At 38.1% G+C, this 25,239-nt stretch overlaps 1 annotated feature.

Annotated features, from left to right (window-relative positions):
• Nucleotides 1,021-1,721: an enhancer, noted in NCBI's record as "H3K27ac hESC enhancer chr1:88503107-88503807 (GRCh37/hg19 assembly coordinates)". NCBI's record gives its function as "activates a minimal SCP1, AML or CMV promoter by ChIP-STARR-seq in primed H9 embryonic stem cells {active_cell/tissue: H9 hESC(primed)}" and the evidence as "EXISTENCE:reporter gene assay evidence [ECO:0000049][PMID:30033119]".

A 25,239-nucleotide genomic window follows, 5' to 3' on the forward strand; every position in this document is an offset into this window, starting at 1 on the left:
CGTCCCAACCTGAGACTCTAACCGCCCTCCACTGGTAGCTGCTCTACATTTCCGTGGGTCAGAGCTCCCAGAGGGAGGGGCAGGCCACCATTTTTGCTACTTCACAGCCTTAGCTGCTGTTGCCTTCAGGCTCTGGAGAGTGTGCAATGATTAGAGGATGGTGCAGGGCCCCAGTACAGTGCAGCTGCTCCACAGAAAAGCAACCAGACTATTTTTTATGCAGGTCCTCAATTCTGCTTCTCACTGGCGGGACCTCCCAAGCTGGGATCCCAGCCACCCCTTGTGGGGGCTCTTGGGTGGCAGTTCTGTACTTCCCTGGGGCAGCACTCCCAGAGGGAGGGGCAGGCCACCATATTTGCCGTCTGGCAGCCCTCAGGCCCCGGAGGTTGTGCGGTGATTAGGGACTGGCGTGGATCCCTGGCACAGTGCAGCTGCCCTGTGGAATAGTGGCTGGGCTGTTCTCCACGTGGGTCCCCATCCCGACTTCTCCTTACTGGGTGGGGCCTCCTGACCGGAGACTCCAGCACAACAACCCTGCCCCTGCCTGAACACTTCAGTCAGAGGCAGCTCTGCAATTCTCTGAGGAGCAAATCCTAGAGACAATTCACAGCCCCTCGCCATTGCAGCTGCAGTGGTACCACCCTAACTCTCCTCATTCTGGGGAAGGAATCAAGGACCTAGTCGCTACACTGGCATCTCCAGCACACAGAAGCAACCACATGGAGAGGAGCCCAGTCTCTCTTCCCTGTGAGCCTTCACCCGTAACTCTTCACCAGGCAGGGCCACCAGCTCAGGAGTGCAGATTAGCTGCCCCACCCACAGCTGAGCATACCCACTAGTAGTGGCTCAGAGTTTACCTAGAGAGGGGCTCCCAGAGACAACTGACAGTCCCTCTGCCACTGCCACAGAAGTGGTTCTGCTCCTGTTGCCCTTGGTCTGGGGAAGAAACAAAGAGCCCAAGGCCTTCACTCGCACTTTTAGCATGCCACAGTCACCATACAGCGAGGGGACCAGTCTGTCCTCCATATGAGCCCTGGACCCCCAGCTCTTCAACATGTAGAATCCATAGCTCACACCAGCAGTGCAGCAGCCACACCCCTTGGCTGAACATTTCCAGTAGCAGCAGCTCCACATTTCTCTGAGGTGGAGCTCCCAGAGGCAACCAAAAGCCCTTCTGCCACTGCTGCTGCCACTGCAGTGGTATTTCCCATGCTGCTCTCAGACTGGGGAAGGAGCAAAGAACCTGAGTGCCTTGATCATACCTCCAGCAAGCTTCAGTTGTCGTAAAAAGAAGAGGCCAGTCTGTCTCCCATGGGAGCCACCTGAACCCTTCCAATCACCAGGCAGGGCCCCCACAGCTTGGGCCCACAGTGCAGCCATCCCACCTCAGGTGATGGATAGCAGCTCCACATCTCTCTGGAGTGGAGTCCCAAGAGAAAAGTGAAAGACCTTCTGCAACAACCACTGCTAAGGAAAGCTTGAGCTCAGCTCAGAGCTGCAGTGTGCAGCTTGGGAATGTCAAGCCATGATCTGCAGCTAGCACTCCAGTGGGAGAGGAGCCCACACTTTCAGAGCACTGAGAGGGAGCACGGATGCAATCATGAAGAAATACAGAGGAGCCACGTGGCTGAGCAAGAGCCTACCTACTGGCCATTATGCTTAAGTGCCATCTACTGAATCATAGCCCAGAAATTACCCTCATGCTGTTCTCGTGATAGTGAGTGAGTTCTCATGAGATCTGATGGTTTTATAAAGGGCTTTTCCCCTTCTGCTCATTCTTCTCTCTCCTGCTGCCTTGTGAAGAACGGGTTTGCCTCCCCTTCTGCCATGATTATGAGTTTCCTGAGGCTTCCCCAGCCCTGTGAAACTGAGTCAATTAAACCTCTTTCCTTTATAAATTACCCAGTCTCAGGTATGTCCTTATATATAACAGCATGAGAACAGACTAATACACCAAGCAAGGGTTATTAACTAGGCTGTAATGGTTGAAATGACAGAGATATAACTCAGAATATGGATAGGAACCGAGATCCCCAAGAATAAGGAGAAAGTTGAAACCCAATCCAAGGAATCTAAGGATTACAATAAAACAGTATGGGAGCTGATAGACAAAATAGCCATTATAAGAAAGAAGCAAACTGACCTGATGTAGCTGGAAAACACACTAACTGACCTGATGTAGCTGGAAAACACACTGCAAGAAATTCTTAATGCAATCACAAGTATTAACAACAGAATAGACCAAGCTGAGGAACAGAATCTTAAGAGCTTGAAGACTGGATCTCTGAAATAACTCAGTCAGAAAAAATCAAGAAAAAAGAGTAAAAAAGAACATACAACCTCCAAGAAATATGGGACTATATAAAGAGACCAAATCTACAACTCATTGGCATCCCTGAAAGAGAAAGCAAGTAACTTGGAAAACATATTTCAGGATATCATCCATGAAAACTTCCCCAACCTCATTAGAGAGGCCAATGTTCAAATTTGAAAAATGCAGAGAACCCCTACAAGAGATATTACACAAGAAGTCTGTCCCCAAGACACATAAACATCAAATTCCCAATCTTGAAATGAAAGAAAAAATGTTGAAAGAAGCTAGAGAGAAAGGGGAGATCACCTACAAAGGGAACCCCATCAGGCTAACGGCAGACCTTTCAGTAAAAACCCTACAAGCTAGAAGAGATTTGGGGCCTATATTCAGCATTTCCAACCAAGAATTTTGTATCTAGTCAAACTCAGATTCATAAGTGAAGAAGTAAGTTCCTTTTCAGACAAGCAAATGCTGAGGGAATTTGTTACCACCAGACATGCCTTATAAGAGGTCCTGAAAGGAATGCTAAATGTGGAAAGGAAAGACTGTTACATAAGTGTACTTAGAAAAACACTCATGTACATAGACTCTTGATGCTATAAAGTAACCAAACAATTCTGCATAATAACCAGTTAAAAACACAATGACAGGATCAAATCTGCACATATTAATAACCTTGAATGTAAACAGGCTAAATGCCCCAATTAAAAGGCACAGAGTGGCATGCTAGGTAAAGAATCATGACCCAATGGTATGCTGTCTTCAAGAGCCCCATCTAATATGCAATGACATCCACGGAGAAAAACTTACCAAGCAAGTGGAAATCAGAAAACAGCAAGGGTTGCAATCCTAATTTCAGACAAAACAGACTTTAAACCAACAAAGATTTAAAAAAAAGACAAAGAAGGGCATTACATAATGGTAAAGGGTTCAGTTAAACAAGAAGACCTAACTTCTCTTTTTAACATGGCAATCCCAATGTCTAGAATCCATAAAGGCACAACATGAAAAGAAACAGGAATATGTGACCAATTGTCTAGAAAAGATAACCAACATTGATCAACCTCAAAATGATTTAGGTATGGAATTAGCATATAGGGATTTTAAAGCAGTTACCATATCTCTTTTAAAGCTGTAAATACAAAGATAGTTGCAATGAATGAAGAGATAGGAAACCTCAGCAGAGAAATATATGCAACACCAAATAAAGAAAGCTATAGAACTTAAAATATCTGACTTATAAATGTCTGACATGTAATATGCAGTGTATGCATTTAGCAGAAGAAAAGAGAAGACAGAAGAAATATCCAGTAAACTTGAAGATAGATCAATAGGAATTATTCACTCTAAGAACTAGAAAACATAAAGATCAAAAAATAAAGAAAGAAAGCTTTATTGGCCTATGGGATAATATTAAATGATCTATTTGTATGTGTAATTGGAGTGTCAGACAAAAAAAGAGAGAAGAGAGCAGAATTGATTTTGAAGAAATAATGGCTAATTTTTTTCAAAACGGTAAAAGACATAAATTTAAATATTTAAGAAACTCAGCAATCTACAAACAGGAAAAATATGAAGAAAATCATACCTAGGTATAATAGAAAAAAATATACAAAACCAAAAGAAAAAATGTTTCAAAGCAAGCAAAAAAAAAATTAAACATTATACACATCAGATTAAAATGAATTATTTTACTGTTTACTTATTAGAAACCTTGGATCATGGAAGATAGCAGAGAAAGTATTAAGCTGGTGAAAGCAAAAGCAAAAAATCAAACAAAAATGTCGACCAAGAGTTCTATATCCAGCACTAATATTCTTCCAGAATGTGGAGGAAAATGCATTTTCAGGTGAAAAAAACCTTTAAGACAATCTGCTGCCAGCAGACATAAATTAAAAGAATTGCCAAGGAAACTCTGAGGCTGAAGAGAAATAATATCCTTCTTTCTCATATCCTCAGAAGGAATTAAGAGCATTGAAAATGGCAAAAACATCTTAAATTACTATTTCAATTTCCTCTTTTAAAAAAAACTTTGCATGAATATTTAAAGCAAAAATCATAACCTTGTCTCATATGGTTTATAATGTACATATAAGCAAAGCATAAATCCATGACAGGAAAAATATGGGGGGTGGAGAACAACATAAAGTCCTATAAATATGGTCCAGTATATGCAACTTAACAGTTGCAAATTATCTGAATTTATGTGAAATGGCACAAGATTAACTCTACTGTGAAAAAGTAAAGACCTGTAGTTTAATCTATACTGCAACCACTAAAAAATTCAAAGAAGTATATCTAAAATGCCAATAGAAAAAATGGCATTTTTAAATGCCATTTTAAAATCCAAAAGAGGACAAAAACATAGGGCCAGAGAATCAAAACACATAGAGGACAAACAAAAAACACATCATAAAATAGGGGAAGTAAACCCAATCCTATCAACAATTATATTAAATATAAATGACTAAACTCTCCAATTAAAAGTCAGAGATTATCAAAACGTATAAAAATCGAGACTCACCTGTTTGCTATCTTCAAGAAGCTCAATTTAAATGAGTTGATACATTCAAATACATATTAAATTTAAAGATACATTTAATAGACTGAATGTATTAGATTGAAAGCAAGTGATGGAAAAGATATGCCAAAGGAACAGTAAGCGTAACAAGGCCAGAGTGGCTACACTAATATAAGATAAAATAAACCAGCAAGAAGAATGAAAGTGTAGTTATCACAACAGGTCCTAGAGACATTGGATAATGAGACAATCTTTGAAAACATTTACCCAATAAGTTTGACAACTTAGATGAAATAAAGAAATCCTGGGGAAGCAGAGAGCAGAGAGAGGTAGCTTACCAAAATCAACATATGAAGAAATTGAAAGTCTAAATATCCCTATGTCTAATAAATAAACCAATTATTAAAGCCTTTCTACAAAGAAAACTGCATGTCTTTAGGGTTTCATTTGTGAATTATGTGCAATATATAAGGAGAAAAAGTACAAAGCTTATACAAAGGTTTACAGACATTAGAGGAAGACAGAACACTTAGTAATTCATTTTATGAGGCCAGTATAATCCTAATACTAATAGCTGACAAAAATTGTAAAAAAATTACCAATCAATATCCCTCATAGACATACATGCAAACATCTGAAACAAAATATTGAATAAAATTTCAGATTTATTCAAAATAGCTAAATTTTGAAAGCAACCATATGTATGTAAATAGAAGAATAAATCAACTGTAGTATATTTATACAATGGAATGTTACTCAGCAATACAAAGAACAAACTATTGAAACACACAACATGGCTGAATATCAAAAACTGTGCTAAGAGAAGTCTTACATAAAATAGTACACACTGTGTGGTTTCATTTATTTGGAGTTCTAAGACAAACAAAACTAATTTGTGGTAGAAAAACGTAAGACAACTTTTGACTTTGAGAGCATAAAGGAAGGAATTGACTAAAAATTCTATTAAAGATTTTCTGATGGTAATAGTTTATATCTTTGTAAGAACTTGAGTTACACAGAATCTGTCAAAATTCACCAAACATACACTTAATATTTGTGCATTTTATTCTGTACAAATTTTACATTAAAATGTGCAAAAAGGATTGAACTCTAATGCAATGGATGCTGAAATATTTAAGGAGAAATATGTTGACATATTTCTAAAAAGTAAAATGAATTAATGAATAGCCAGATTGATGGATATATGAGTATATATTATGATAAAACAAGTCCAATATAATGTTAATTTCAAGCACACAACAAAGTTTACTCTGTCTATTATAAAAAATCTCTATCATACTTTATATTTGACATTTTTAATGATAAAATGATCAAAAATTGGTTTGGAGTTCTATACTTCACACTATGGAAAATTTATCCTTTAGGGATTTGAAGGACCAGCAATCTATGGAATCTTAATATAATTATGAAACTGTCTGGAAAAGACACCATATTCAATGTAATACCGCTCTGAAATGAGAAACCAGTAATACTGCTGTGAAATGAGAAACCAGGTTCTGGAAGGAATTTTTCAAATCTTTCTTCTAATGGGTTAGGACTAAGAATCTTAGTTCTAAGCCTTCTCCATTTTTCTCACTTAACTCTTGCATCAAGCAGATTATTTGAGCCACAGATTCAGGATGTTCCTACTTCTATGCCAGCACCACAGATTTCCTCTGAGCAAATGTTCATTTTTAAAGGTACACATACAAGCAAAATTCTCTGCCTAAAGTTTCCACCAGTTTTCATATTCCATATGCTTCAAAGTCCCACAGTAAATTTGATAAGCTACTAGTAGCTTTTCTTGTTCTTTAGATTGGACTCCATTACAAAAATTGGTTGGATGAACAAATAAACCAACAAACAAAAGAAATGAACAAAGGAATGAATAAATATCATTTAGCCAAGGCTAACAATTTAGCCCTTTAAGTTGTATTCCAGTTTCAATGAGCATTTGGGTAGCTTGCCAGTATCTTTGTCTATTGTGTAGAATGGAGTCTAATCCTTATATCCTGGCTATCCTTAAACCCATGGACTAAACAGAAATCTTTTTGTTCAAAGACAAGTAAACAGAAAATGTCAACATATAACTTGTGAAAAAGAAATCAGCAGTACAGAAGTGTAAATTCTTCCCATGATTAGATTTAGATGATCACAGAAAAGGGAAATTGCTTTAAAAGATGTTTGCTTTGTATTCTCACTATAAGCATATACATATATTACTCACAGTATTTTCATCTTTGTATTCTCTAGCACCTGGAACAAAATAAATGTAAATATTTTTGAGTGAGCAAACGAATTTCTATTATTTAAAAAGATGACTTTAAAAATGATAGAAGAATGAAGATAAATCGCTGTTGGAATCTGGAAGTTGCTAATTGATACTGCAGAAAATAAGTATTTCAAAGGACATTCTTGGAAAATACTTGTAAAATGAAGAAAAAGAAAACATAAATGTAAAGTTAGGGAGAGAATATAATGGATTAGAGTTTCTAAAGTTTATAAAAGATTTTAGAATTAAAATGGAAAGAAGTGTAAGAAGCAGAGTAATGAAAGGAGACACAAATAACATGGTAAGTTACTTAAATTTGAAAGGTGAATCCTTAGCACTTACTACCATGTAAAATATTATAAATGTTTACCTATATTATATAATGTCTTTTTTATCTACTAGAATTTAAGCTCCAGGAAAACTGGAATTTTTGTCTCTTGGTTTGCTATTATTTGCCCACTACCTAAAATACTGTCTGATATACATAAATATACAATAAATGACTATTGCAATAGGCATTATGCAAGAGGCATTATGCAATATACAGTAAATGCTTATTGAAGAAATGAACTAGTTTTTAACTATTTTGTTTAAAAGAACATCTGAGCAAGTTAGCTTTGGCTAAGTGATCCAGGAGTGGTTGTGGTGGTATATGGCTAGGTAGGAAGTCAAGTATATTTTCAGCAAAACAATTAAAATCACATTGTCCCCAGATTTCTTTTCTGCAACAAATGCTTTTTTTTTTTTTAAGAAAAAAAGCAATTTAGCTCAAAAAACTGTTTATGACTCCAAAATTGCATTATTAAATAAGCTACCTTTTGTGCATAAAGAAAACAGGAACAAACCTCAAGTTTTCACAAAATTTAAGAAATTACAGTTCATAAATTTACTTAAAAGAGTGCTTTGAATAACTTACAAATTTTATCAAAATGGAAACTCAGGAAAGAAAAATAAGGCAGCTTAATAACCGGTAATTTAAAGGTCAACCGAAGTCATAGAATTACATGAATAAGAGGACAACCACTATGGAGGAAAAAAGTGAATGCAGCTTAGACTAAATGAGGTATTGAAGTCTACTAAATGGAATATTAAATGTAAACATGACAAAGAATAAAGAATATACATGCTTATATGCATATACAATACATATATAATGTATTATATATAGTATGTGTTTATAGATATAAATATGGATAAATGATAAGCAGTAGACAGATGCTAGATAGTTGCTCTGTGTGCACATATGTGCACATGTGCAGGTATGTGTTATGTTTTACTTTCAGAATAATCAGTCAAAACGTCAGTGAGTGAAGAAGAAGTGAGGATGTGGAGGGAAGAGAATGACAGTGTTTTCTGAATAATGTTAGCTGCTCTCTTGCTTCCAGTGTGAAAGGTGGCAGGAAATCTGGAAACACTCTGTCAGGCCCCACTTCCTCTGTCCTATTCCACTAATGCCTTTTGTGAATCTATAAAAACAAGGGCCTTCTTCAATGCCACTAAAGCCTCAGGGTCACATAAGGTATTTCTTCTTTTTGCTCAGACTCCTCAAAATGTGGCTTAGTTGGATCTTAGTTATTAATTTACCTTATAATTTAGCTTTAGTTTCCTTGGTAAACAAAGCCCAAAATAAGGACATGTGTTCCTACTCCTCAGGAAGTAGGAATGAGGAATGGGGAAGAAAAGAAGAGAGAAAAGATAATATAAGGGTGTGTTTTTAAGGACCGCATGGAGGACACATGTGGCTCAATCCCACCCAGAACTGTCTAAGGAGCATAGAAAATAACTCACAATGGTGTTACAGAGGGTAAATGAGAAGCATTATTTCTATTTCAGCTTCTGTCTAGCATGGATTGGGAGATGCTCCTAAGGGCATTAACTCCTTGAAATCTCCTGTTTTCACAGGCTGGTTGCTCCTTCTAGTTTCTGTAAAATGAGAGAAGCCAGGCAGAAAGTGAAAGACATGCAGACATTAGGTCATCGTTTGAGCAGGGCACTATCAGCACAAAATGAGTGGAAGGCTCAAGGAACGGTCTGCTGCTATCATGGCTGAAATTAGAGGTGAGGCAAAGAGGTTGCTACTCAGGACATCAAGAGGAGTCTGATATTCCTTTCACAGATCTTCCAAGACTATATGCTTTACAGCCCATGGTTAATTCCTTTTGATCCCCCTGCCTAGCCCAATTAACCAGAATCTCCTTTGAAAATTGTGATCCATGTTTCTGCTTATTTGAAGCGGGGATTTGGACAAAGAAAAAAATTGTTAATGACAGTAATTAAGAATATTATAAATACATGCATGTGTGTGTGTATTATCTGCATCTTTTATACTCTAGAAGCACAGGTTACTAGTTCTTTTTAAAATATATAAGAATTCATATATTTAAGCCTAATATTTGAGCCAAAGCTGAAACATCTTATTTTCAAAATAAAACTATGGGGGAAAATCTTACAATGCAATAAAACTAGAAATTCTATATGTAGTTTAAATTCTCAATGTTCATTTTATACTATAACTCCAACATTCTTGAGTTCATTGTTGATTAGCATATATACTATACCAGCCATTTGACTCTTTGCCCTCAGCTCCTATTCCCACCCTTCTGTGCTTTTCTGTGTATTAAAGACTAGAAGTCTACAAGCTGTTTCTTGACCTTCTTTACCAGCTATCTTCCTGATGAGTTCTACTAATAGAAGATACTAGTGAGAGAGAAAAAGACATCAGGAACAGTAAAGTTTTCTCCTTCTGGATCCGACAGTATGGCAGCCATTGTCAATTACTGTTAGTAGCTGTACTAGCAGCAGGGGTGTGTTGATAGCGGACTCTAGCAGCGAGGGCACAGATAGCATCTTTTTCTTGGTTTCGCTCTGGTCCAGGCAATACACCTTTGGCAGATACAGAACCAACTGAAACACCATCTCCAACAGGTAGCAGAAGGGGCAGACTCATTGACTCCAGCTTGGGTGTCTTACCAGCTTCTGATCTCTTGGTATAATCCCTTTTGTATCTTTGTTCTTCCAACCCTCCTTTCTGCTATCAGCTATGGTCTGAATGTTTGCGTCCCCCGCACCAAATTCATATGTTGAAACCTAATCCCCCATGTGATAGTATTAGAAGGTAGAGCATTTTGGAAGTGATTAGATCATGAAGGCTCTGCTCTCATAAATGGGGTTAGCACTTTTAGAAAAAAGACCCCAGGCCGGGTGCGGTGGCTCACATCTGTAATCCCAGCACTTTGGGAGGCCGAGGTGGGCGGATCACGAGGTCAGGAGATCAAGACCATCCTGGCTAACACGGTGAAACCCCGTCTCTACTAAAAACACAAAAAACTAGCCGGGCACGGTGGCGGGGGCCTGTAGTCCCAGCTACTTGGGAGGCTGAGGCAGGAGAATGGCGTGAACCTGGGAGGCGGAGCTTACAGTGAGCAGAGATAGTGCCACTGCAGTCCGGCCTGGGGGAAAGAGCCAGACTCCATCTCAAAAAAAAAAAAAAAAAAGAAAAGAAAAGAAAAAGAAAAGAAAAGAAAAAAGAGAAGAGAAGAAAGGAAAGGAAAGGAAAGGACAGGAAAAGAAAAGAAAAAAGAAAAGAAAGGAAAAGAAAAGAAAAGAAAAGAAAAGAAAAGAAAAGAAAAGAAAAGAACAGAACAAAGACCCCAGAGAGCTACCTTGCCCCTTCCACCATTGTGAGTATGCAGTGAAGAGGCTCTGTCTGTGAACCAAAAGAGAGAGCCCTCACCAGACACTGAATCTGCTGGAACCTTGATGTTGAACTTCTCAGCCTCTAGAACTATAGGAAATAAGCTTTTGTTGTTTATAAGCCACCCAGTTTATGGTAATTTGTTACAGCAATCCAAATGAACCAAGACACCATCCCAGCCCTTCAGACACACATAAAAATTATTTGTATAAAGTTATCTCTGTTGAAAATACCTATAGTGACTTTTTGTTTTCCCAAATGAACCCTAATACATATATCTTTGACTAATTCTCACTTTATTGTTGTTTTTGCCCCAGAATTCTGTACATAATACTTCAGAATATTTTATCATTTTGTTTCATGAGAGCAAAAAGCTGAAATTAGTATGACTTTTATTATATTGCATGTATTCCGTTCGTTTGGTTTTTTTTTTTTTTTTTTTGCAGTGCTGAAGTCTGAGACATTTCCTTTTCAATCCCCTTACTTTCAGCCTCTCTTTTCACAAGTGTCAGACCTGCATCTCAATCTGAGGGCTCACGCTGCCTTCTGCAGTTCCCTCTTCACAGGCACACAGGCAAGGTCCTCAATAATTCTTTCACACTTATAATTCTGTTTTCGCATCTGCTTATAGAACGACCTGAACCAGCAAAGTAGGGAATGCAATTTGGATAGATTAGTCTAGTTTCTGAATGGAAACTGAATTTAACAGAAACATATCTGGAGGGAGAGAGATCAGTTATGACTTTCCTTTTTTTTTAAGACAGAGTCTCTGTCGCCCAGGCTGGAGTGCAGTGGCACGATCTCGGCTCACTGCAACCTCTGCTGCCTGGTTTCAACCCTGTTCTCCTGCCTCAGCCTCCCGAGTAGCTGGGATTACAGGAGTGTGCCACCACACCTGGCTGATTTTTGTATTTTTAGTAGAGACGGGATTTCACCACGTTAGCCAGGCTGGTGTCCAACTCCTGACCTCAGGTGATCCATCCACCTCGGCCTCCCAAAGTGCTGGAATCACAGGCATGAGCCACCCTGCCCAGCCTATGACCTTTCTTAAAAATGTGTTTTAAATAGCTGTCTATCAAATTTAGAAACTGTTAAGAAGGATATTGTTTTTATAGATTCATAAGCAAGTTTGTTTTTAAAAAAATAAGGATATGAACAAATCTAGTATACGCTCAGAATAAAGCAATTCAGATAATGAAGAGATGAAGGCACATTAGAAGTAAGTGAAGGGAATGAAGAAGAAAACACTTAGAAAAACGTGAGTAATTAAAAGACTAATATACAAAATGGAGACCTGGATTTATGAGATAGAACTAGGATCAATAAATATAAGCTGCAGGAAGATAAATTTCAAGGTACTGAAAGGTAATACTAAAATATATTTTAATAGTTAAAATATATTAATAATTAAATAATACATTTTACAATATATTTGCAGAGCAAATAGCCCCTTTGTGGGGTGTTTAAACAAGGACTTGACCACCTGGTAGGGATGTGGCACAAGCACTGGGTGAATGGCTGGAATCTAATACTTTTAAGATCAGTCTAATGCTGAGGTAGATGAATCTATAACAACTTTAGTAAAACAGAAGAATGCATTCAAACATCCCTCGCTTTTGTAATTTCTTATTTTCTAAGATTATTTTTATATGCATAATGATGTCAAGAGGGCATTCCTGCAAGAAAGCACTCTTTATGAATATGCCTGTTTACTGTGTCTCAGTGAGGGCATACATTTAGATCTCAGTGGAGAAGAACATATGGAGCCCAAAGAAAGGAAGAAAATATATTGGTTTAGAAATAACTAATTAAAGCTAGCGACTGGACCAGAAATATCTTCCACCTTTACATTAAGACATTTCAAATTAGTTACTAATTAATATAAAGTAGAAAATTTAAAAATTGTCTTATTTCTCTAGGAGTTGCTTTTGGTATTGTTGATGTAAAAATGATGCCTAGACAAAAATGGCACAGAACATATTGCATATCCTAGCTAAATTTTATTAATGCATCTTTAAAATGCAATTCACATGTCCTTATTTTCTCATAAATTTCTCAAACTCACAAGAAGCTAAAAGTAAACAGCTATTATTCCAAACTTGGGTTCCTCAAAAGAAGACCAAAAATTAGCCTAAGTAGTTAATGAATTGATATTTATTAAAAGCCCACAGTGTGGTGAGATTGTGGACAAATGTTTGATAGGGTATCTCAGGCACTGACACTGCCTTCTGCAGTTACCCAACCTAGAAAAGTCAGTTCTGTTTAACTCCCTCTTACCTTTTCACCCTAATTAATCTGACTCTACTATATCAATTCTTTTTCCTAAATACTTTCCCAAACCTCATCTGCTCTCCAGCCCCGCACTCCCAATTCAGGCTTTATTACTTCCTCGCTGGATTGTTAAAATAAAATACTTTTCTATCTGGATGTCCTGTCCCTCAACTATTACCTCACCAATCAACTGTCCACATTATTACCAGAAATGTCTAATTATTTCACTCTGCATTTGAGAGCTTTCAGTGACTTCTCAGTGCCTCCCACTGAAAGTGAACTTAGGGTCTGGACTGTATTAGTTGTCAATCTCTTCACCTCTGGCATGTTATGAACTGCAGCCTCTCAGTAAACGTTGACTAAATGATGGACAATTCCTAGACAACATTGTCCTTAAATAAACATGTGACTATGGCCATGTGGTAATTTTCCTAAGTTACTGAACTGAATTTTGTATCTGTTTGTTATCTATTTATATATCTATATAAATATATAATTTTTTTCTTTGTGTATGCAGCATATACATGCTTCATTAAGAATGAAAGAATGTCCAACATCATTCTTTATGTCCAATATAAAGCTATATTGGACATAAATTGTTTTGAATAGTTTGATTTAAAGATCCCCATATTTCTGACTTTAGAAACTTTGAATAAAACCAGGACAATAATGATAGTAAAAAACCACTAATAATGCCATCATACAGAGGTAATCATTGCTGATAGTTCAAGTTCTTTCTTCTCATTCCTTTTTTTTAAACAACCAAATAAACTATTTAAAAATCAAGATCCTATGGCATATTGAGTTTTGTCACTTCTTTAGCATCAGCATTATTTCATATCATTAAATGTTTTTAACGTGCTTTTAGAAAATTTATTATCTTATTGCTCATCTTAAACATTAATTAATCCTTAGCTATATTCCTAATTATTTTCCTAGCATAGATTCCTAGAAATAGGACTTCTGGGTTGGAAGAAAAGGATAGTTTTAATGCTTTTTGTATGTAGTGATAAAGTTTTCAAGAAAGTTAACAACCATATGAGAAAATATTTATCTTCCCAATATGCTGCCACCACTGCATATTATCTTTTTAAAAGGCGATTATGCCATTTAAAAAGTAGGTTTAATTTAAGGTAATTGAATATTTTTTTTCTTATGGATATTCGTCCTTTGTTTGTTTCTATTGTAAATTGTCTCTTCATGTACTTGGCCCATTTTACCTTAGGAATATGAAATAACACATATTTTGCCAGCAGGTTTCAACACACATGGGAACAAGATATATTCATGGAATGTGCCTTTGAACCTGCATTCAAAAGAACTCAGACAGAGGTTAGTGGTGAATAAAGCAATTGCTTTCACTTAATGACACAGGTGGGGAAAGAGTTTGCAGAAAATGTTTTTCTTGAAAATAAAATATCTGTGGCTTGCAATGTGGGTGCACGTACAAATCAGCTTCAAAAGTGCTTTCATAGAAGGAGCTGTTGGAAACGTAGTATAAATATCTGCCTTGTGTATCACAGCATTTTTTTAGAAGGGCATATCTAATAGTTCTTTCAAGTCTAAATTTAGGAATTGATGATAAGTAAAATATCAGAGAAGCTAGAATCTTTAGAGTCATCCTTGACATGTCCTCTATCCAATTGCTAACCAATTCCCATTCATTTTTCTTGGGTGTCAATCCAATAGATCCTCCCAGATCTACCCACTTTGTTACAGCTTTAACTTGAGCCTTGTGACACCTCACCAGGACCTTTGCAGCAGCTTCCCAGTGTTTAAAATTGCTCTCAATTAGTATCCAGCCTTTCAGTTCTATCAGTTATAAAGTATCATTTTTTTCTCTAAGAAAAGTGGTAAAGCTTATCAGAGAAAATGTGGATAACAGGAAATACAAAAATAAAATCATAGTATCCAGACCACCAATCCTCAAAAATAAAAACTAAAATTCCCGCATATATTCTTTCAGTCTTTCCACTTATATAAAAATGGGATCACCCTGGATATGTGTATAATCTCTTTCATTCACAAAGCAATATATGTATTGCAAACACCTTGTTACGTTTTTGCACATTTCTCTGCAACAGCATTTTTAACTGGTTGCATAATGTGCCATTATATTAACATGCAGGTCATTTCCAATATTTTGGTATTACAGGCAATGCCAAAGTAAACATCTTTGTAATTATCTTTTAATAGTTTAAAATATTACTTTATTGTTTTCTCCCATCCAATGCTGCTATGGAGAAATCTGATATCATCCTTACTTTTCTTTCCTGTGGGTGAACTGTTCTTCCTTTCTGAAAGGTAGTAGAATTTACTTTTTGTTTTTGTTATTCCTTGTGTGAGGTTTTATCTCTCTTGTTTGGTGTTAAGTCCTCATGCCAAGGTCTTTCACTTTTTAAAAATCCTGGGACATTTTTGCCATTATTTCTTTGAATATTTCATCCTGTTTTTCTTTTTCTTTCTGAGATTCCTTACATCCAGATAATGGCACTTCTATCCTTTAAAATTATCACCTTCTTTGAGTTTTACCTCTTCATTCTTTCCTACTGCCTTCTGGGAGAGCTTCTTAATCTAATTTTTTGACTCACTAATTTTTTTTTCAGCTGTGTTCATCTAACTCTTTAACTCATTTTTATTATTCCTGGTCCTGTCTCCTAATTACATAAGTATTTTTATCAATTTATTTTATGTTATTCATCTATCTATACAAAAAATTTACTTACAAAGGGTGTACATTTTTTAATGTAGTATATGTGTTCTGTTAAGTAGTTGCCTGTCATATTATATTCCTTATTTTGACCACAAGTCCATGTTCTTTTCTGAGTGTCAGCTGCACTGTCTGGTAGACTTTACAGTGTGAGAGCCAAAGTACCAAAGTCCTAGTTCAGTCAGACCAGGCAAGTTTCAGAAGCAAAAGAAGCATGAGCCCACAGCAGAGAGCTAAGCACACCATTGACCACTCCCTTTTGCTGCAACAGCACCAGGCAACTCCTCTGGGAAAGGCTTAATCAAGCAGCAATGGCAAGACAGACTCCCAACATTGTAGTCCACCAGCCGTGGAGTTCAGAGTAGAGGAGAGGATGAGTGAGTGCCTGAGAAAGGCTGATGGGTAGGAATCTGTTTACCCTAATTTTTTTTTTTTACCTCTTGAGGGATTTTTTGCTATGCTACCTTGATCCTGTACCCCCAGAACCAGATGCCCTGGCCAGCAGCAAAATGAAGGCATTAAAGATCCCCAGACAATGGGAGGAAACAAAAATTAAACCTTTCATCTCCAGTTCATATGTTGACAGCCATATCCAGTTACCCTGTGTCTCCAATTATAGCACTTCACCCCTTGTTGCATCCAGTCATTGGCACACAACCAAAAGTCAGAAGTCCTTTGTGTTCTACCAGTGGTTTCCCAAAGTTTTGTGGTGCTGTTTGTTCCTAGAATCTTTTTCCCATTTTTTATTAATGTCTCTAGGATGCATTTGGAGCAGGGATATCCAATAGCCCTTCTAGTTTCCCATCTTGGTAGGAACCAGAAGTTCCTAACTAAAGCTTTGTTCACATCTATGCCAGTTTCCTTAAAATAAATCTCTAGAAACAGGAATGCTGTGGCATAGCATACTTAAAAATTTAAGGCTTTTTATATGTTTACCAAACTGCCCAGAATTATAAATAGGAAAAACATATGGTTTGGTAATTCACATCTAATCTTGCTTGAACAATCTGATGTCTTCATAAACAGGATGTTATGAACCTGTGTATACCATACTCAACCACACAGGGTAGGTTGTCACGTGATGATACCACCTCTTTCCTACATCTGTCCTTGTTTCCTAAAACCTTCTCTATGTTATCTTGAATTTCATCGTGTTTCCTCAAAACAACTATTTTGAATTCTCTATTTGAAGGGTCACATATCTCAGTATCTCTAGGATTGGTCCCTGGTGGCTTATTTAGTTCATTTGGTGAGGTCATGTTTTCCTAGATGGTCTTAATGCTTATGGATGTTCATAGGTATCTGGGCATTGAAGAGTTAGATATTTCCTGTAATCTTTGTATTCTGTGCTTGTTTATACTTGTCTTTCTTGGGAAGGCTTTCCAGGTATTCACAGGGGCTTGGGTATTGTGATCTAAGTTTTTGGTTACTGCAGCCAAATCTGCATTAGGGGCCACCCCAAGCCCAGCAACACTGCGGCCCTTGCAGACTCATAGAGATACCGCCATGGTGGTCTTGGATAAGATCTGGAAGAAATCTCTGAATTACAAGGCAGAGACTCTTGTTCTCTTTCCTTACTTTCTCCCAAACAAAGAGATTCTTTCTCTCCGCTGAGCTGTCTGGAGCTGGGGGAGGGATGACACAAACACCCCTCTAGCCACCACCACTGGGACTGCTCTGGGTCAGATCTGAAGCCAGCACATCACTGGGTCTCATCCAAGGCCCACAGTGACCACTGCCTGGCTACTGCCTATCTTCTCTCAAGGCCCTAGGCACTACAGTCAGCAAGTGGAGTAGCCAGCCAGACTTGTGTCCATCCCTTCAGGGTGGTGAGCCTCAAGTGGGTCCCGAGATGCTGTCTGGGAGCTAAGACCTGCAGTTGAAAACCGTAGGAATCTGCCTGGTGCTCTATTCTACAGTGGCTAAGCTGGCACCCAAACCACAAGATAAAGTCTTTCCCACATTTCCCTTTCTTTTCCACAGGCAGAGGAGTCTTTCCCTGTGGCCACCCCCTCCCTGCCTCCCCAGCTCCAGCCTGTGGCAAGTACCGCCTGGGTATCACTGATGTTCACTAAAGGCCTAAGGACTCTTCAGTCAGTTTGTGGTGAATGCTGCCAGTCCTGCGTATCTCCCTTCAGGGCAGTGGGCTCCCTTCTGGCCCCAGGCAAACCAAGAAATGTCATCCAGGAGTCAACGCCTAGAAGTGGGAATCCCAAGAGCCCACTTAGTGCTCTACCCCATTGTGGCTGAGCTGGTATCTAAGCTGCAAGAAAAAGCCTCCTTTACCTTTCCCTCTCCTATTCTCAAGTAGGAGTCTCTCCTCATAGCCACCACAGCTGGGAATGCATCAGGTCACACCTGAAACCAACACAGCTCTGAGTTCCACCCAAGGCCCATGGCAAGTACTGCCTGGCTACTGCTGCTGATTATTCAGGCCCCAACGGCTCTTTAGCCAGCAGGTGATGAATTCTGTCAGGACTGAGTCCTTGCCTTCAAGGCAGCTAGTTCCCTTCTGGCCCAGGGTGTGTGTAGAAATGTCCTCTGGGAGCTAGGGTCTGGAATGGGGGCCTCAGGACTCTACCTGGTACCCTATCCTACTGTGTCTGAACTGATATTCAAGTCACAAGACAAAAAGTTCTCTTTACTCTTCCCTTTCCTCAAGGATAGGAAAGGAGTCTCTCCCACATCTGCAAGCTGAGCTGCCTGGGATTAGGGGAGGGGTGACACAAGCACTCCCTAGGTCACCCCAGCTGGTGTCTCACTAGGTTGGATGCCCCTCAAGTCTACTAGCTCTGAGCCCAGCACAGCACTAGGACTTGCCTAGGAATTGCAGTCCTTGTGGCCTAGACTGCTTTTCAAGTTTATTTAGAACCCCAACACACTTTAGCCCAAGTTGGCAATACGAAGTCCCACAATCACGGTGCTCTCCTTCCTCCAAGTACACGGATTCTCTCTCCCACCATGTGGCTACTGCCGGATGGGGAAGGGATGGTGGCAGTAGTTTATGACTGTTTTTCCTATCCTCTCCAGTACCTCTTTTAATAATATGTTAAAACGAGGTACTGTGATTGCTCACCTGATTTTTTGTTCTTATGAAGGTGTTTTTTTGTGTGGATACTTGTTCAATGTAGTGTTTCTATGGGGAGAGTGATCAGTGGAGGCTTCTATTCAGCCATCTTGCTGGTTATTCTGTCCTTGTTTCTTGGAATGGTGTTATTTATATTTTTTGCTGGGTTACAACTCAATATCACATATTTTGTGAATCCTTCCCCAAATTCTCCAGAATTACTCTCTAATTTTTTTGTTATCATTGTTATTTTGTAGCATTTTGTTCATGCATCTATTATAGCACAGCATATTTTAATTATTTACTTTTGTACCTATATAAGCCCCTAAGCTATGAAGTTCTTTTAGATAGAGATTCTATCTTAATCACCTTTTTATTGCCAGGGCCCTGTGACTGGGACTAGCACCATGTTAGGTGATCAATCAATGTTGGCAGAACCAACAAATGAATTTTCAAATATCCAACAGAATCTGAACTAAGTGTGCAAAACATTTTTAAGTACTTTCATTCAATCTTCCAAACAATTTGTATTATTTTCTCTACTTTTTAGATGAGAAAACGAAAGCCTTAGAGAGGCCAAGGAGCTTGCCCAAGGTAGAGCTGGGATCTGAATTCCTATCTAATTCAAGAGTTGAGACTTCACCACTAGAATCTTATGGTTCCTGCTGGTTCTGTGTTTTGATGAATGCAGGTAGAGAAAATCACGAAGATTGTTCAATAAAGAGGCTTGTTTCTTTGTGAAGTTGCTATTTTGAACCTAATATAATTCAATATTTGAGAGGCATCAACTTCACTATCCAGTTATTTCAAAATAAACCTGAAACTAGAAGGATTGAATTATATCACCTGTGAGAAATAACCTAAATACTTTCTTTTTATAATAACCTTGCTGAGATACTATTAAAAGGACAGACCTAAAAACATTCATCTGCCTGCAGTGTGACATAATCCATATCCTTGTTTAATAGTTTTATCTTAAAATGCTCCTAAGCTTGCATAGTCTTTATTACTGTTTCCTGGTAAGGGGAAGAGACAGTAGGGAGGGGATGTAAGGGTGATGCTGAAAAGGACCAAAAAAACCCAACAAATACTATTTGAGGTAGCAGGCTAAACTGTGAATATATGCTTTTTAATTTCTGGTATTACCTCAAGAAATTTCAAGCATATAATTAATGACAAATATGAGGACCTAGCTCATTGATTTTTACCATCTTCATGAAATACTCTATAGGTGCAGCCTTAGAACACATGTTGAATTACACAATCCTGATGCCTCTAGTAGGTACATATGGTTGAAGGATGACTATACGATACCAAATAGCCCTACAAGGTCAAGTTTTCAACCATCTTCATCACTTACTGCCGGAAGTCAACTGGCTGAGGAGGTGGAATGGATGACCCATGCCACCTGATTCGCTCTGCCATGCTCTTGTTATTTCAGGCATGGAGACACAGTCCAAGGTAAATGTCACTGATACATATTCCCCTAAAGCTGAATAAGAACAAAGGCAGAGCTTATTGATTTTAAAAAATTAATTTATTTCTGCCAGACTTCATTTAGGCCCATTGTCTACTTTCTTTGAGAATACCTGGGCAAGCAGAAATTTCCATAGCTGATTTAGAACATGGGGAAAATTGCAAAGAACCAAATTTTTCTTGTCATTTAATGCAAGGGGAAAGAGATCTTAAGACGAGCATGTTGGTAACTCGGATTGCTAAGAGGAGCAACACATTGAGGAAAATGCCCTAGAGGTACAGGGGGCCATGACCACACTGATGTTATATCCTTTCTGAAGTTAAACATTCTCGTTCTTGGAAGATTTTTTGTTTTGTCAGCAAATTTCCACAGCCACTATGTTCTATTATTGGCCATTTTATTAAATATGTTTTTCAGGGCATGATAGCAATGTATATGACAGGATTCCTAAATATGAGAGGTGAGAATCCCATTATGTTGGAAATCCTTTTCAAAGAGAGGGTATAATTTAAGATTAAGCCTTGAAGGAATGTGCCCCAACATGCTCTCTTACCATGGAAAGACTTCTGTAAGAACAAAACACTTACAATTTTATGAAAATATATCTAGTCAGTAGTGTTTTGACCTAAAAAGAAAATGTTTTACAGATCCTGAATGTTCCAGATACCAACTTAAAAGGCAAGTGTGAAGGGCCACTTCAGAAAGAAAATAGTTGCAATAGAGGAGTCACCATCATATTTTCCTTCTTCAATTAACATTGTAAAATGAACCTTTTGAGCCTCTGTCTCTTGTTGATACTGAAAGGAATGTCTCCTTATTAGAAGCAATAAAAACAAAATATAACAGATACAGATCATGTCACTTCTGGAAATGGGAAGATGTGATTTAGGTCGGTTCATGAACAAATGACCCTGCAGATACAATTCTTCTAAATCCTGGGTCATGACCCTAAGAGTGGAAATAAAGTGAATTATATGCAACTTGATAGACGGAGCCTGATGTCTTGTACCACACATAGTATAAGATTGAGTATTTTACTTTATTCAAGTCAGGGCATTTCATTTTACTAAAAAACTCTCTGTCTCCCAACCCCCACCACCACCTCACACACACAAAAAAGCACCCCAAACACACCCTGTTTTCATTAACTAAGACACAAAATGCAAAATTCAGGCTTATCTCACAATACCCCAAAGATGACCCTGGTCCGGTTGCTATACAGAAATCTCTATTGCTGTACAAATGTATGGTAGACCACAATTGTTTTGTGCTAAACAACAGATAAATGACATAGATTGAAATTATGGTAAATTTAAATTGATGGCCTAATTAGTATTATCTCTTTTTGTATTCATTGTAAGAAAAATTATCCAGGAGGAACTCATTTTGCATTAATGTTGATATAAAGTGTAATTCTCCAGGATTTTCGTTGTAATTTGGCACTAATTAATGCATGATTATTTTAAAGTGTTAATTAAATTGTTACAAAAAGGGACATCTGCAATGGCTGAGAAAGGAAATCACATGAACAATTAGTTTTGTATAGGACTGTGGTGCAGTCTCAGAGATCACATTCGTGGCAGGAGCATGAAGGCGGAGGTAGATTGCAGACAGGAAAAACTCCTGCTCTGTCCTGTGTGGTATATTGTTGACAGCATATGACCACTTCTCTTTCCCTTTTCATTGTCTGCATGTGAAGAATGGGTAGTTTCTAGAGCACTAGATTTTTGTTCTGTGGTTAGGACAGGATGCACATCAGTAGGACTATGGTTCTTTACTTGATTTTTCTGGGACCTTGGCAGATGTCACTGACCATTTCCATGTCAGTAAAAAGAATCACTGAATCCTTTTTGTAATGTGGTCTAAAGAGCTCATAAATATGCAGCTGTATATGGCTAGGTTAATATTTCTACTGGTAATAAACTCCATACAAAACTGTGACAAATCAAAAGGGAGATAATCTGCGGTAATTCCTTACACAGTGGACCATCATTGTCAAGGCATCTGGAAGTTATTGAATGCTATCATGGCTTAAGATATATAATTCCAAGGAAATTCCATCATCATTTCATATATCAAGGAATCATGGCAATCAGATAGCAATTTGGGTTGGCAATTCTATGGAACGTGGAACTCAGAGGGAATATATAAATTAGGCTCTAGACACTCTGTCATCATGGTCCCACAGGACACAGAAATTTGGGGAATGTTATTCTGTCAGCAACATTATCCTATATTTGGCTCTGTGGGGCTCTACTGAATGAACGTTCTTTATCAAGGGTTGTAAACCAAGATCCCCATAGGAAGAGTATAACGAGATACTATAGCACTGTACCACATACAACTGTGAAGTCTTTAAATTGGTTATATATATATTTTTTCTGGATACCAACTTAATATTAAGGTTGCAACTTTTCCTTTAACAGCCACAATGGGAGCCTCTTATTTTTCAGGTTCTGTGAAATTTTCCTCATAGATAACTGTTTTATGGACCTACAAGGCAAGGCCCAAATTCCACAATCAAGTTGAAGTCAAATCTTTCCTCTTTACATTGAATGATAAGTTGGACAGATAAAATCAGAATCACTCCATAATGTTTTTGACAGTTCTCCTTAGATGAATGTAAACCACTTCCCTCTTTCATGAAGATGCAAACTCCCCACAGATCTAAGTCTTTCTTGGGTCTCTTGTCCAGCATGTAGCCTGATACCAGGCTCACTCAATAAATCGTTAATAAATTGATTGATTCATGTAGCTCATGAGTAATTGCTTTCCTAAGAAGAGATGGCCACAAAACTTCTATAGGTTCAATAGAGTCTATTTGAAAGTGATTGTTTATACAGAAGATCAGTATTCCCGCACCCAAGCTCCCAAACTTTTCCATTACCTGTACTGCTAATCACTAGAAAGGGAAATAAAATGAAGCAGCCTAAAATTCTAATTCAATGTCATCTAACGAGGAAGATTTAGTTTGTGGGGGAAGAAACCTCTCTTGGCAGAAAAATAAATGTTTTTTAGATAAAACAAAAATAATAATAAGGAAAAAAAGAATAGAAGCAGAGTTGCTGTTGAAATACTAGAAGAGCCTATTCATCTTCTGGGAAAGTGTTGCACTATGCTTAGGTCAAAAGGGTTCATTCCTGTGCCCTGAGATTTAAATTATTTTAAGGTGAGCCCTCATCTCTCAATGAAGATTCCTTCCAGTCTCTGACCGGGCATTCCTGATTTGACCAAAGTATCTCAGTTTCCTGATTATTATAATGTGATTTTCTGAAACTGTTCAATTAAGTTCAGACTTCCTACTTCCCAAAACATTGATTGGAGGAAAAGATGAGAAACGTATATTACAAGAGAACAAAGCATTTCAACTGAATATTACACATACCTGTGCTTAAAGGTCATGTTCCAGCCTTACTAACACAAAGCCTTGTTGGCCATCACCTTCTCCTCCTCCTTGTTCACCCCTCTTTCTCTTCCTAGATACCAACCTCTTTCCCTCTCCTTTCCACAGTGAACTTCAGCCCCAAAGTACTATAACTTCTTTTATAGTATGGTTTTGCTACCTCTTTGTTTTAGTTCTACTTTCATACCATACCCTGAGGCCTTACTCTCTAAACCAAAGTGGGTCTGTCAAGACAATTTTGCCAAACAAAGAGCTATTTAGTCTTTCCTAGGAAACAGAAGTTGCATTCAATTGTGGTTTTAAGTAACTTTGTTTTTTTCTGTTGAGTTTGTCATCTTATAGTTTCAATGGTTACCTCAGGCTCTTTACAAAACTCTGGTTTCTTTGTTAACAGTGCTTCAGTCACTTACATCAGAAGCCAATTCCTTGCGGGCAACTAACATGTGTCTACTTTCCTTTGTAGGTGTTTGTAAATGCCAAGTAGGCTCTTCTGCCCACTTTGGGTACTAGACAAATGCTGTTGAGGAGCAAGAGCAGACTGAAATTCAAGGAGATGACAAGAAAAGCATTTCCAGTCCCACGATTTGAATGTGGGAAAGGGAATGTGCAGAAGAGCTTACCACCTTCCCAGCAGCAAGGGTACGGCAGAAAGGACACGAAACTAGCTTTAATATTTAAGCATAAGATGCTCCACATTTCTCACTCTAAATTTAGTGCTGTGGCATTCAGTTTAAACTACCTTGTGTCCAATAATATACTTCCTGGCCTGCCCTGAGGTCTTCAGGAAGCTTTTTATCTTTGATATAATTGCCAGGGTGAATCCCTAGTTATAACACACTCTACAGCATATAAAATAATTGTTGCAACTGAACCCATCACATAAATATTAGTGATTGAAGAGATTGGTTGGAATAAATCAATGTGGGTGACATATTTAATAAACTTTGTATAAACATTGTTTGCAACAGCTATAAATAAAATTGTCTTTAGGAATTTTACATATTGCACATCCCTCTCTTCATGGGAGATGCACAGGCATGATTTCTAGCTGCACCAAATGACAAGCCTTTTAAAACTTGTCCAGATTAGAACAGGCAAGCCAAGTCAGGGAACGTGCCACAGCAGGTCAGGAGAGTGCTGAGGTTTGCTCCACCCTCTGAGCTTTCCTCATGCACTTGCCACTGGGAACCAGGCTCAGGCTGAGAAGAGCTTCCAGCCAACACTCCCCTCTCCTCCCCTCCCCTCTCCTCCCCTCCCTCCCTCCCTCACTCCCTTCCTCCCTCCCTCCCTCCCTCCCTCCCTTTCTTCCTTCCTTTCTTCCTTCCTTCCTTCCTGTTTTTCAAAAGAAAAACACACACCATAAATAAAGCATGATCAAGATGGCATTTTACATTCACACAGATTTTGGCATAAATAAATAAAAGGGATTTTGTTCAAATTCTGTCATTCTTACATGCCATCTTAAAATTATCTTTCTCTACCAGTTCATCATATTCTACTATGCCTTGAG

Source organism: Homo sapiens, chromosome 1 (genome assembly GCF_000001405.40).
Source record: "Homo sapiens chromosome 1, GRCh38.p14 Primary Assembly".
NCBI classification, from domain to species: Eukaryota; Metazoa; Chordata; class Mammalia; order Primates; family Hominidae; genus Homo; species Homo sapiens.